The following is a 14007-nucleotide window of genomic DNA, read 5'->3' on the forward strand; positions in this document are numbered from 1 at the left end:
GAGGAAGGAGAATGGCATGAACCCAGGAGGCGGAGCTTGCAGTGAGCCGAGATCACACCACTGCACTTCAGCCTGGGAGACAGAGTGAGACTCCGTCTCAAAAAAAAAAAAAAGAAAGAAGATACACAGATGACATATGAACACCCAAATGATAATGAACATCACTTGTCATTAGGGGAATGTAAATTAAAACCATATGAGATATCACCACATACCACTTTAAATAACTAAAATTAACACACACCCTGACAATGTGGAGAGCAGATGAGGATATGGAGAAACTGAAACTCTCGTTCATTCCTGGTAGGAATGCAAAATGGTACCGCTGCTTTGGAAAACAATTTGGCAATTTCACGTAAAGTTACCACATGAGCCAGGGCTTTCACCCCTTGGTGTTTACCCAAGAGTAAAGGAAATACCTGTCCATAGAAAGACACCATTTTTGGCAGCGTGGTTTGTAACAGCCAAAACCTGGAAACAATCCAAATATCCATCAGCTGGTGAGTGGATAAACCAACTATTGTACATCCGACGGAACACAAGCCAACCATTCAAAGGTACAAACTTCTGATAAATGCAGACACGTGGATGACTTTTTAATGTACTATGCTAAGTGAAAGAAGCCAGACCCAAATGACTACATAATTGCTCCAAATTAGTATGCCCATCAACTTCTGAATGGATAATGGAGCTAGTGATTGAGTAACTGAAACAGTGTGATTTGAAAACAGAGTATGGAAGCCAGAACCAGATCTTTGCATAAATGGACACTTGATTTATAACAAAAGTGCTACTGCAGGTCACTGAGGAATGAATGGTTTCCTCAATTCATGGTTCTGGGACAATTAAATTTTTTTTTTTTTTTTTGAGGCAGAGTTTCCTTCTTGTTGCCCACGCTGGAGTGCAGTGGCAAGATCTCAGCTCACTGAAACCTCCACCTCCCGGGTTCTAAGCAATTCTGCCTCAGCCTCCTGAGTAGCTGGGATGTCAGGCGCCCACCACCACACCCAGCTAATTTTGGTACTTTTAGTAGAGATGGGGTTTCACCATATTGGCCAGGCTGGTCTCGAACTCCTGACCTCAGATGATCCACCCACCTCAGACTCCCAAAGTGCTGGGATTACAGGCCTGAGCCACCGCGACCGGCCAGACATTCATAATTTTTAAAACATACATAATACCTACTTCACCTTATGCACAAAAGCTAGTCCCACATGGACTATAAAGCTAAACAGGAGAAGAAAACAATAACAATTTTTAAAAGTAATGTAAGGAAACAACCTTATAACCTCAGAGCAGGCAAAGGAAAAAAAATGTTAACCACCAAGAAAAAATATTGAAATGTTTAACCACGTTAAAACTAGGAGCTTCCCCAGGACAGTCCAACACATAAAAAACCGATCCATGGGCCAGGCACGGTGGCTCACATCTGTAATCCCAGCACTTTGGGAGGCTGAGGCGGGTGGATCACGAGGTCAGGAGATCGAGACCATCCTGGTTAACACAGTGAAACCCTGTCTCTACTAAAAATACAAAACTTAGCCGGGCATGGTGGTGGGCACCTGTAATCCCAGCTACTCAGGAGGCTGAGGCAGGAGAATGGCGTGAACCCGGGAGGTGGAGATTGCAGTGAGCCAAGATCACGCCACTGCACTGCAGCCTGGATGACAGAGGAAGACTCCATCTCAAAAAAAAAAAAAAAAAGAACTGATCCAATGTATAAACCATATCAACAAAATGAAGGGAGAAACCACATGATCCTCTCAATAGATGAAAAAAATAAAAAAGCATTTGACAAAATCCAACACATTTTTGTGAAAAAAACAAACAAAAAACCCTCTCACAAACTAGCAAGAGCAGAAAATTACCTCACATAATAAAAGCCATATATGAAAATCCCACGGTGAACAGTACACTCAATGGTGAAAGACTAAAAGTTTTAGCTCCTCTAAGATCAGGAACGAGACAAGGATGCCTGCTTTTGCCACTCCCATTCAACATAGTTCTGGAAGCTCCAGCCAGAGCAATTAGGCTAGAAGAAGAAATAAAACGTATCCTATCCAAATTGAAAAGGAAGAAGTAACTAAACTATCTCTGTTCACAGCCGATATAATGTATGTAGAAAACTCCAAGGATGGGCCAGTGTGGTGGCTCATGCCTGTAATCCCAGCTACTCGGAAGGCTGAGGCCAGAAAATTGCTTGAACCCGGGAGGTGGAGGCTGCAGTGAGCCAAGATCTCACCACTACACTCCAGCCTGGGCGACAGAGCGAGACTCCATCTCAAAAAAAAAAAAAAAAGAAAGAAAGAAAACTCCAAGGATTCCACATACACACAGTATACATGAATTCAGCAAAATTTCAGGATACAAAGTCAGCACATAAAAATCAGTTTCATTTATGTACACTAACAAAGAACAACCAGAAAAGGAAATTATGAAAACAATTCCATCCACAATAGCATCAGAAAGAATGAAATTTTTAGGAATTAACCAAGAAGGTGAAAGCCTTGTACAAAGAAAATTAAAAAAAAAAAATTGTTGAAAGAAATAAGAAAACATAAACAAACAAAAACACACCCTGTGTTAACAGATTGGAAGTTGTAATATTGTTAAGATGTCAATACTACCCTAAGTGATCTATAGATTCAATGCAATTCCTATCAAAATCCCAATGATGTTTTTGGCCGAAAGAGGAAAACTCATTCTAAAATTCATATGGAATCTCAAGGGACCCCAAATAGCCAAAACAATCTTCAAAAAGACAAACAAAGCTGAAGGACCCACACTTTCTGATTTCAAAACTCACTACAGAGTTGCAGTCATCAAAAGAGTGCGGTACTGGCATAAAGACATATAGACCAAAGGAATGGAATAGAGAACCCAGAAATAAACACTTGCATACATGGTCAAATGATTTCTGAGAGAGTGCCAAGACCATTCAATGTGGAAACAATGATCTTTTCAACAAATGGTGCTGGGAAAACCAGATAATCACATGCAAAAGAATAAAGTTGGGCCCTTTCCTTACACCATATAGAAAAATTAACTCAAAATGGACCAAAGACCTAAATGTAAGACCTAAAACTATAAAACACAGAGCAAATGCTTCAAAACATTGGATTTGGTGATGATTTCTTGGATGACAGTAAAGACACAGGCAACAGAAGAAAAAATAGACCACTTAGACTTCATGAAAATTTAAAATTTTTATGCATCAAAAGTCACTACCAACAAAATTAAAAGGCAACCTACAGAATGGATGAAAATATTTGAAAATCATGTATCTAATAAGGGATTAATATCTAGAATATATAGGGAACTCCTAAGATTTAACAACAACAAAAAAAAACACAATTGTAGTGGCTTACACCTGTAATCTCAGAACTTTGGGAGGCTGAGGCGGGCGGATCACCTGAGGTCAGGAATTCCAGACAAGCCTGGGCAACATGGTGAAACCCCATCTCTACTAAAAATACAAAGATTAGCTGGACGTGGTGGTGGGCACCTGTAATCCCAGCTACTACTAGGGAGGCTGAGGCAGGAGAATCGCTTGAACCCAAGAGGTGGAGGTTGCAGTGAGCCGAGATTGCACCACTGTACTCCAGCCTGGTGACAGAATGAGACTCCATCTCAAAACACAAAACAAACAAAAAAAACCACAAGTAAAAAATGGGAAGGACTTGAACAGATATTATTCCAAAGAAGATATACAAGTGGACAATAAGTGCATGAAAAGGCACTCAACAGCACTAGTCATTAGGGAAAAGTGTATCAAAACTACAATTACATACCACTGTAACAGGACGAGCTGCAGACAAAACTCCTCGGATGCTGGATTAAAGAAGGAAGAGGTTTTTTTATTTGGCCGGGAGCATTGACAGACTCGCGTCTTAAGAGCAGAGCTCCCCAAAGACAGAGTTCCTGGCCCTTTTAAAGGCTTATAACTCTAAGGGGTTCCATGCGAAAAGGTCGTGATGGATTGAAAGCACATGTGGTTAGAGTGGGCGGGCGGAGGGGGCGGTGTGGGGGGGATGGTTAATCTTTTAACCTCAGGCTGGGTCATCAGTGGCACTGGCTGGTCTTGGCACTGACTTCATTCCTGCTGTTTTACAACTTTTTCTTCCTCCTCCTCTTCAGAGACAGGAGACAGTAAGAGAAATGGCTTATCTCCTCATTCCCCTCTTTGAGAACCTCACTCACTAGTGGAAGTTCTCACTCTCATCTACATTACCCAGATCTTCCTGCCAGTCCAGTTCCATTGACTCCTAGAGTTACATACTCTCCTCTTTTCCAATGGGGATTAAGTAGTTCTAATGGGTTATAGCACACATCAGTCTGGTCACTTCCTGGGCTGCATACCTTGTACTGGGTGGCATTATACACACAAGTCCCTTTTAAACAAAGACTGTTTTAACTTTTTGCCCTACCTCAGTCTGAGGAAGGTCAGTTGAAGTCCTTACTGTACAAGTCCAAAATTTATGAAAAATGAGTTCCACGATGAGCTTCCTCATGCTTCAGCCATGCGTGGACCAGTCAGCTTCCGGGTGTGACTGGAGCAGGGCTTGTCGTCTTCTTCAGGGTCACTCTGCAAGGGTTGTCCAGGCTTGGTCTTGCCTCCCAGGTTTCAGGCGCTGCAGGTTTTACACGGCTGCGGTGGATCCAGGCTGGGATTCCCTCTACCTTCACAGCGGTGGGAGTGGTCAGGATGACAGTCTGGGGTCCTTTCCACCGTGGGCACAAAGAGGCTACGTTCCAGTCCTTGATCCATACTCGATCTCCTGGGGAGAAAGGGTGAACTGGGGAGAATAAGCTAACAGGGCATCTCTTATTTACCCAGGCTGAGATTGTTTGTGTAATTTTTCCTAAAGCATGTAGCTGTCGCTGTAACTCAGTCTCACCTAACTCTCCTGGAAGTCCCCACGATAAGGGAGAGGGTCCATGATTAATATTTCATAAGGGGAATATCCTGTTCTTTTAGAAGAGGTACACCTAATTTTAAATAATACCATAGGGAGAGCCTGTATCCATTTTAATCCTGTTTCTTGACGTACTTTCCCTAAACTATTTTTGATAGTCCGATTCATCCGCTCCACCTTTCCGGAACTCTGAGGCCGGTAGGCGGCATGCAGTTTCCATGTGATCCCCAATACCTTTGCCATCTTCTGTACCAAGTCAGCCACAAACGCAGGCCCGTTATCTGAGCCGATCCATAAGGGCAGTCCAAATCTAGGAATCAGATCTTGAAGAAGCACACGGGTTACTTCACGAGGTTTCTCAGTTCGTGTTGGATAAGCCTCCACCCACCCAGAGTGGGTACACACGAGAACTAGTAAATACTTGTTACCTCCACACTTTGGCATTTCTGTGAAGTCCACCTGGAGATCTATCAAAGGGGGCTGCTCCGTAAGTTTGTATGCCGGGTGGAATGGCTGGACCTCGCCTCGCATGATGCTGTTGGCAGGTAACACACTGCTGCATCACCGTTTTGGCAAGGGCTGACAAATGCGAGATGTAGAAATACCGGCCTAACAACTTTTCCAGTGACTCCTGACCTCGATGGGTGGTTTCCTGCACAGCCAGTACAACTGCAGCTCCTCGCAGCTGTGGTGCAGCTACTCTCCCATCTGGTAACCGAATCCATCCTTCCTCCATCACTTGTCCTCCCTCTACCTGGAGAAAGTCCTTTTCATCTTTAGAAGAAGTAGGTACAAGATCAGGTGCTTGAGGGAGCAGAGGCGCTGTGACTGATGCCCAGAAGGGGGCAGATGCTGCTTTTTGAGCCTCTGAGTCACTGCGGGGATTCCCCAAACCCACCAAGGTGGAAGCTCGCTGGTGTCCTCTGCAATGCATAACTGCCACCTTGTGGGGTTTCCATATTGTTTCTAATCATTGCAAGATTTCTTGTTGATATTTTATGTCTTTTCCCCCAGAGTTCAATAGGCCCTTTTCTTTATATAATGCACCATGCACTTGAAGGGTTAAAAAGGCATACCGAGAATCACTGTAAATGTTGACAGTCTCACCCTCCCTGAGCTCTAAGGCCCGAATGAAAGCAATGAGTTCAGCTTTCTGGGCTGAAGTGCCCTGGGGCAATGATCTGGCTTCAACAACGGTGTCCAGGGTTACCACTGCATACCCTGCACATCTCTCTCCTTGTGGGTTGATGAAGCTGCTCCCGTCCACGTATAGTTCCCAGTCTACTGATGCCCAAGGCCAGTCCCGGAGGTCAGGTCTGCTAGAGTCAATTGAATCTAACACTTCTACACAATCATGCTCGACAGGGCTCTCTGATACCGGTGTAACGCCCAAACTCGTTTTTACTAACCCTGTTTTTAGACTCCCCCTTTTCCTTTAATCACGCAGCATTGTTGCCACCTGAATGGACTCTCCCTTAGCTAAGAGAACCAGACAGACTCCATCTTGGCTCTTTCATTGGCAGCCCCTTCCTCAAGGACTTAACTTGTGCAAGCTGACTCCCAGCACATCCAAGAATGCAATTAACTGATAAGATACTGTGGCAAGCTATATCCGCAGTCCCCCAGAATTCATCTGATTGATAATGCCCAAAGCCCCGCATCTATCACCTTGTAATAGTCTTAAAGCCCCTGCACCTGGAACTGTTTACTTTCCTGTAACCATTTATCCTTTTAACTTTTTGACTACTTAACTTCTGTAAAATTGTTTTAACCAGACCCCCCTACTCCCCTTCCTAAACCAGGGTATAAAAATTAATCAAGTCCCTTCCTCGGGGCCGAGAGAATTTTGAGCGTTAGCTTTCTCTCGGTCACCAGCTAATAAAGGACTCTTAACTCGTCTCAAAGTGTGGCGTTAGGACTCTTAACTCGTCTCAAAGTGTGGCGTTTTTCTAATTCACTCGGGTACAACACCGGGAGCAAAGTGGCAGGGTTCAAGATGTTACAAACTTCAGTGGTTATACGGGGATTTTCACAGAGAAAACTTTGGTACTTGGTGAGTGTGGCATTCGTTAGCCAATGATGTCCTTTAGTATTCATTAAAGTCACCACAGCACGGGAGGCCTTTATGTTCAGGTGTTGCCCAAGAGTCAGCTTATTTGCTTCTTGTACTAGCAGGGCAGTTGCTGCCAAGGCCCTCAAACACGGGGGCCATCCTTTAGGAACCCCATCTAGTTGTTTAGAGAGGTAGGCCACCGGCCTCGGCCAGGGCCCCACAGTTTGGGTTAAAACTCCACGTGCCACCTTTTCTCTCTCTGACACATACAATGTAAAAGGTTTTGTCAGATCGGGCAGCCCCAGGGCTGGGGCTGACGTACGTTTTTTCTTTAAGTCAGGCTTGCTGTTGTTGGGATCCCCATTCAAAAGGTTCCCGGTCCCCGCCCCCTTTGTGACCTCATACAAATGCTTGGCTAATACTGCAAAGTTTGGGATCCACAGTCTACAAAACCCCACAGGTCCTAAGAATTCTCTCACCTGCCTTCTGCTCTTAAGCTCCGCTAGATGGCAAATAACCTGCTTTCTTTCTGATCCCAGGCTGCGCTCCCCCTGTCGGACAGTAAATCCCAGTAACATATCTGCTGTCAGCAGATCTGAGCTTTTTTCTTGGACACCTTATACCCACGGTCCTCCAGGTGCCGGAGTAGGGCAGCCGTTCCCTTGGCGCACCCAACTGCCATGGGGTGTCCCAGCAAAAGGTCATCAACATACTGGAGCAATACGCAGCCTAGGTCTCTGGTGGGAAACTTCTGGAGGTCTCGAGCCAACGCCTCCCCGAAGATGGTGGGGGAGTTCTTAAACCCTTGGGGAAGCCGGGTCCAAGTGTACTGAGTAGTGACACCTCACTGCGGATCTTCCCACTGAAAGGCAAACAGCTTCTGGCTCTCAAGGGCTAATCTGATACTAAAGAAAGCGTCTTTTAGGTCCAAGCAGGTGAACCAGCTGTCCTCAGCTGGCAGCAACCCCAACAATGTGGACGGGTTAGGTACTGTTGGATGGAAAGTCACTGTAGCTTGATTAACCAAGCACAAATCCCGTACCGGCCTGTAGTCCTTGGTCCCTGGCTTGGGAACAGGCAGGAGGGGAGTGTTCCATGGAGACTGACAAGGAACTATAATTCCAAAAGTTCTTAGGTGTTTGAGGCGAACCTGGATACCTTTAAGAGCTTCTCTGGGGACTGGGGACTGTTTTTGCCTAACCGGCTGGGCCCCAGGCTTAACTTCCATATTCAGGGGCTTGGTTGACTGCCAATCCTGGAGGGTTGTCTTCCGCCCACACTCTTGGCCACCGCTTAGCCAAAGCTGGTCTTATCTCTTGGCCCGGCTCAGTTAAGAAAAGTCTCTATTCCTCCTCTCAGGGGACCATAAGGGTCATAACGACTCCCGTTCCGGGTAACTTTAGCAGCAAAGAGCCATGCTCTGTAAAAGAGACAGTGGCTCTCAGCTTGCTAAGCAAGTCCCTTCCCAACAAGGGCAAGGGACAGTCAGGCATGTACAGAAACTGACGAATCACTGTATGTCCTCCTACAGCACAAGTCCGAGGCAAGCAGAAAGCTTGCTTTGCTGAAACCCCCATGGCTCCGATGATGTCAATAGTCTTTTTGGATAAGGGGGCAACTGGGGCGGTTACTACCGAATGTTCAGCAACGGTATCTACAAGAATATCAATGTCTTTACCCCCGACTGTCATGCTGACCATAGGCTCTTTCGGGGCACTTGAGCCCGGTCCCCCTGAGTCCAATAACCCTTCTGCCAGGTTGAGCAGGGCCCCTTCCTCCTCGTCTGGGGCCTCCTGCTCTGAGTCACCTTGTTTTCTTTTTAGCTGAGGGCATTTGTTCTTCCAATATCCTATTTCTTTACAATAAGCACACTGGTTACTCTGCAAGCTCTGACAACCAAGTTGAGTTTTTTCCCAGGGCCCCCTTCCCTGGCCTCTTTGGGGGGACCCCTCTGATTGCTGCAGCTAACAGGTCGGCCTTTCGCCAGGCCTGACGTTCATTCTCTTTGCGGTTTTCCTTACGGCTTACTGCATCCCTGTTTACAAACACCTGGTTAGCTATTTCTAGTAACTGATGTGTTCATCCCTGCAAACCCAGTCTGTTTCTGCAGTTTTCTTCTAATGTCTTCTGCGCTTTAACTAAAGCCATTTGAATCATGCGCTGATTTTCACGGCTATCGGGATCAAAGGGAGTATACATGCGATAGGCCTCACACAGTCTCTCAGAGAATTGTGCTGGACTTTCTTCTTTTCCCTGAATGACCTCAGAGACCTTGTTAACGTTTGTGGTCTTCTGAGCTCCCCTCTTTAACCCTTCCAAGACAGCTTCCCTGTCTCCCTTTAGCCTTTGCATATCCTCTCTTTCATTTGGGCCCCACTGGGGGTCGGTTCCTGGTAACTGGGTCCTTACATACTCTTGGGGGTTTTGATAATCAGCTGGTGCATGTTCCTCTAGCCACTTAGTTGCTGCTTGGAGCACTCTCCACCTTACATCTGCATTAAAGAGGAACATGAGCAGCTGGTGGCAATCAGCCCAAGTGGGGTTATGGGTCTGCATAATAGTTGGGAGCAAATCAATTTGAGCTTGTGGCTTTTCGGTATAGGACGGGGTATTGTTTTTCCAGTTGAGAAGGTCGGCAGAGGTGAAGGGCTGGTACACAAAAACACGCCTCTCCACCATGTGACCATCCTCATCTCTCCCAGTATACTGCTGCTCTCTCAGGTGCATTTGTATCCCAGTTTTGGGTCTTAAACGAGCTGCCAAGGGAGGGGTTTCTCCCGAGGCTTCACCTCCTCTCTTGTCTATTCTGGGTGGCCTAGGGATATGCTTGTCTTGCAGAGGTGCAAGCACTGTGGGCTCAAGACTGGGGAGCCTCTCTCCCTGGTAAGGGGAGGGCACCACTGGGATCACTGGTGCCATCTCCTGCAATGGATCTTCTGATGTTGGGTCAAACAGAACTTCAGGAGTTGATTTCCCTGGGCGGGTGGAGCGGGATCCTTCCTTGGCTATCTGTCCCTTTGCTACTAGCATTGCTGCTGCCTGCCCTCTTAGCCACTGTGGGGGGTCTAGCACCAGCTGTAACCAAGTGTCTATGTATGGGAACTGGTCTAGGTATCCTTTACCGGTTACCTTGTGCCACACCTTAGAAACAAGGGAACTGTCCAGGCTTCCTTCTGATGGCCAACCCACTTCTAATGTTGGCCAATCTATTTCACACAAAGTTCTAAGTTTCCCTGGTGTCATAGTAACCCCATAGTCTCCATTAAATCCTTCCTTGAAATTTTTCAACATAGTTCCTAGCGGAGTGGGCTTACTTTGTGTCTGACCCGTTTCCTCGAGACAAAACACCACGCTCACACCACACGCACACCACAGAACAAAGAACAGGTAAAAAAGGCACACACACACTTTCTCAGTTTACACCAGACCAGAATCAAAACCAAAACTGGAGTATCCAGAAATCCAAGCCAGGTCAAAACCAAAACCAAAGTATCAAGCAATCCAAGTCAAGTCAAAAACAAGAACCAAAGTGCCGGTACAGGCACACCATGGGTGATCAAGCCACACTTCCACTCAAATGGAGTGGGCAAGTTCCAAAGACCAGTCTTACCAAGTTTCAGATGTCCAGACCAGATGTTCAGTGCCAGTTCCTTCCCGGTGTTCAGCCATTGCGTTGAACCTCCACCGGGGCCTGCCACGCGCTGCTCTGACGAGGCGTTCCACCGGGGCAATTTCCTACGTGGGAGCGCTCTCAGGATCCGCGTTGCTGGAGCTGGTCGGAGTCCCCCGCAGGGATGCTCCACAGGGCAGGCCTAAGCGGCCTAAAGGGCTGCCTCAACGGTCCGTTAATCACCTCGTTTCCCAGTCAGGGAACCAAGAAATGTAACAGGACCAGCGGCAGACAAAACTCCTCAGACACCGGATTAAAGAAGGAAGAGGTTTTTTCATTCGGCCGGGAGCATTGGCCGACTGGTGTCTTAAGAGCCCAGCTCCCCGAAGACAGAGTTCCTGGCCCTTTTAAGGGCTAAGTGGTTCCACGTGAAAGGGTCGTGATGGATTGAGAGCACCTGTGGTTAGAGTGGGGGGGGCGGGGCTTAATCTTTTAACCTCAGGCCGGGTCATCAGTGGCACAAGCTGGTCTTGCCACTGACTTCATTCCTGTTGTTTTTCAACTTTTACTTCCTCCTCTTTTTCAGAGACAGGAGACAGTAAGAGAAATGGCTTCTCGCCTCACCACCTCACACCCATTAGGATGGCTACTGCTAAAAAAAAAAAGTGTTGGTGAAGCTGTAAAGAAATTGAAACATTTGCAGGGCCGTACACGGTGGCTGACACCGGTAATTCTAGAACTTTGGGAGGTCAAGACGGGAAATCACTTGAGCCCAAGAGTTTGAGACCAGCCTGGGCAACATAGCAAGACTCTATCTCTACAAAAAAAATACGAAAATTAGCCAGGCATGGTGGTGTGTGCCTGTGGTCCCAGCTACTCGGGAGACTGAGGTGGGAGGATCGCTTGAGCCTTGGAGGTGGAGGTGGCCCCACTGCACTCCAGCCTGGGGGACAGAGCCAGACCCTGTCTCAAAACAAACAAACAAAAACTCATTTGCGTACTGTTGATGAGAATATAAAATGGTACAGCTGCTTGGGGAAATACTATGACATTTCCTCACAAAAGCAAAAAAAGAATAACCAAATGGTCCAGGAATTCTTCTGGGCATATACGCAAAAGAATTGAAAGCAGGGTCTCTAAGAAATATTTTCATACCCGTGTTCCTAACAGCATTATTCACAATCACTGAAACAGAAGCAACCCAAGTGTCCACCCACAGGTGAACGGACAAGCAAAATGTGGTATATACGAACCACGGAATATTATTCAGCCTTAAAAAGGAACACAATTCTAGCTGGGTGCAGTGGCTCATGCCTGTAATCCCAGCACTTTGGGAGGCCAAGATGGGTGGATCACGAGGTCAGGAGATCAAGACCATCCTGGCTAACACGGTGAAACCCCATCTCTACTAAAAATACAACAAATTCGCCGGGCGTGGTGGCGGGCGCCTGTAGTCCCAGCTACTCCGGAGGCTGAGGCAGGAGAATGGGGTGAACCCAGGAGGTGGAGCTTGCAGTGAGCCGAGATCACGCCACTGCACTCTAGCCTGGGCGACAGAGCAAGACTCCGTCAAAAAAAAAAAAAAAAAAGGAACGCAATTCTGACACATGCTACAGGGCGGACGGATCTTAAGGACACTGTGCTAAGCGACACAAACCAGTCACATAAAGGCAGATGCTTTAGGATTCTACTTACGTGAGGGGCCTAGAGCAGTCCAATTCATGGTGACAGAGTGGAAAGGTGGTTGCAGGAGCTGGAAGGGGATCGTGGGAGGTTGTTGAATGAGTGTACAGCTTCAGCTTTACAAGGTGGAAAGAGTTCTGAAGATGCTTGGTGGCAATGGCCGCACAGTATTATAAATTTACTTAATGCAACTAAGCTTTACACTTAAAAAGGGTTAAGATGGTAAATTTTATGTTATGTCTGTTTTACCACAATTTTTTGTTTGTTTGTTTGAGAAGGAGTCTTGCTTTGTCATCCAGACCGGAGTGCAGTGGCGCGATCTCAGCTCACTGCAACCTCCACCTCCTGGGTTCAAGCATTTATCCTGCCTCAGCCTCCTGGGTTGCTGGGATTACAGGCGTGGGTCACCACGCCGGGCTAATTTTTGTATTTTTAGTAGAGATGGGGTTTCGCCATGTTGGCCAGGCTGGTCTCGAACTCCTGACCTCAAATGATTAGCCCACCTCGGCCTCTCAAAGTGCTGGGATTACAGGCACGAGCCACCATGCCCAGCCTATTTTACCACAGCTTTCAAAATGGGAAGAAGATAAGAGATTCTATTCATCAAAAGATTCCAGGAAGAAAAGGAAAAGGCAAGTTAGAAAGTGGAATAAAATATTTGTAATATATGTAACCAAAAATAGCCATTTTCAGTCATTTCCATTTTATTATTTAAAGAAATTTTATGAAGCAGCAAGAAAAATGATCATTAACACAATAGGAAAAATAGACAAGAGGCCTGACCCAGCACTTCACCAAAGAGTGTATTTAGCCATTCCAGACGGGGGAGGCGGGGAAACAGGTGAATAGGAAGGGCTGTCTGGGGTGGGGGGAGGGGAGGGGAAACAGGTAAAGAGGAAGGGCTGGCTGGGGTGGGGGGAGGGGGAGAAACAGGTGAAGAGGAAGGGCTGTCTGGGGTGCAGGGAGGGGAAACAGGTGAAGAGGAAGGGCTGTCTGGGGTGCAGGGAGGGGAAACAGGTGAAGAGGAAGGGCTGGCAGGGGTCTGGGGAGGAGAGGGGAAACAGGTGAAGAGGAAGGGCTGGCAGGGGTGGGGGGAGAGGGGGAAAACAGGTGAAGAGGAAGGGCTGGCAGGGGTGGGGGGAGGGGGAGGGGAAACAGGTGAAGAGGAAGGGCTGGCAGGGGTGGGGGGAGTAGGGGGGAAACAGGTGAAGAGGAAGGGCTGGCTGGGGTGGGGGGAGATGGGGGAAACAGGTGAAGAGGAAGGGCTGGCCGGGATCAGGGGAGAGGGGGGAAACAGGTGAAGAGGAAGGGCTGGCAGGGGTGGGGGGAGGGGGAGGGGAAACAGGTGAAGAGGAAGGGCTGGCTGGGGTGGGGGGAGAGGGGGAAAACAGGTGAAGAGGAAGGGCTGGCAGGGGTGGGGGGAGGGGGAGGGGAAACAGGTGAAGAGGAAGGGCTGGCAGGGGTGGGGGGAGTAGGGGGGAAACAGGTGAAGAGGAAGGGCTGGCTGGGGTGGGGGGAGATGGGGGAAACAGGTGAAGAGGAAGGGCTGGCCGGGATCAGGGGAGAGGGGGGAAACAGGTGAAGAGGAAGGGCTGGCAGGGGTGGGGGGAGGGGGAGGGGAAACAGGTGAAGAGGAAGGGCTGGCTGGGGTGGGGGGAGACGGGGGAAACAGGTGAAGAGGAAGGGCTGGCCGTGGCAGGGGGACAGGGGGTGGGCTGTGCAGTCGGAGGGGACAGAACACACCA

At 47.7% G+C, this 14007-nt stretch overlaps 1 long non-coding RNA gene across 1 annotated transcript; it reads right to left on the reverse strand.

Moving 5' to 3' along the window:
• Positions 1-3836: 3836 nt before the first annotated feature.
• Positions 3837-10961, reverse strand: LOC124902306 (uncharacterized). The gene is made up of 2 exons (XR_007061850.1): positions 10580-10961; positions 3837-4778 (listed from the first exon to the last, which is right to left on the reverse strand). It is a non-coding gene; the product is annotated as an uncharacterized LOC124902306 (long non-coding RNA).
• Between the last annotated feature and the right edge of the window lie 3046 nt (positions 10962-14007).

The sequence above is a fragment of the Homo sapiens genome, chromosome 9, assembly GCF_000001405.40.
Source record: "Homo sapiens chromosome 9, GRCh38.p14 Primary Assembly".
Lineage (NCBI taxonomy): Eukaryota > Metazoa > Chordata > Mammalia > Primates > Hominidae > Homo > Homo sapiens.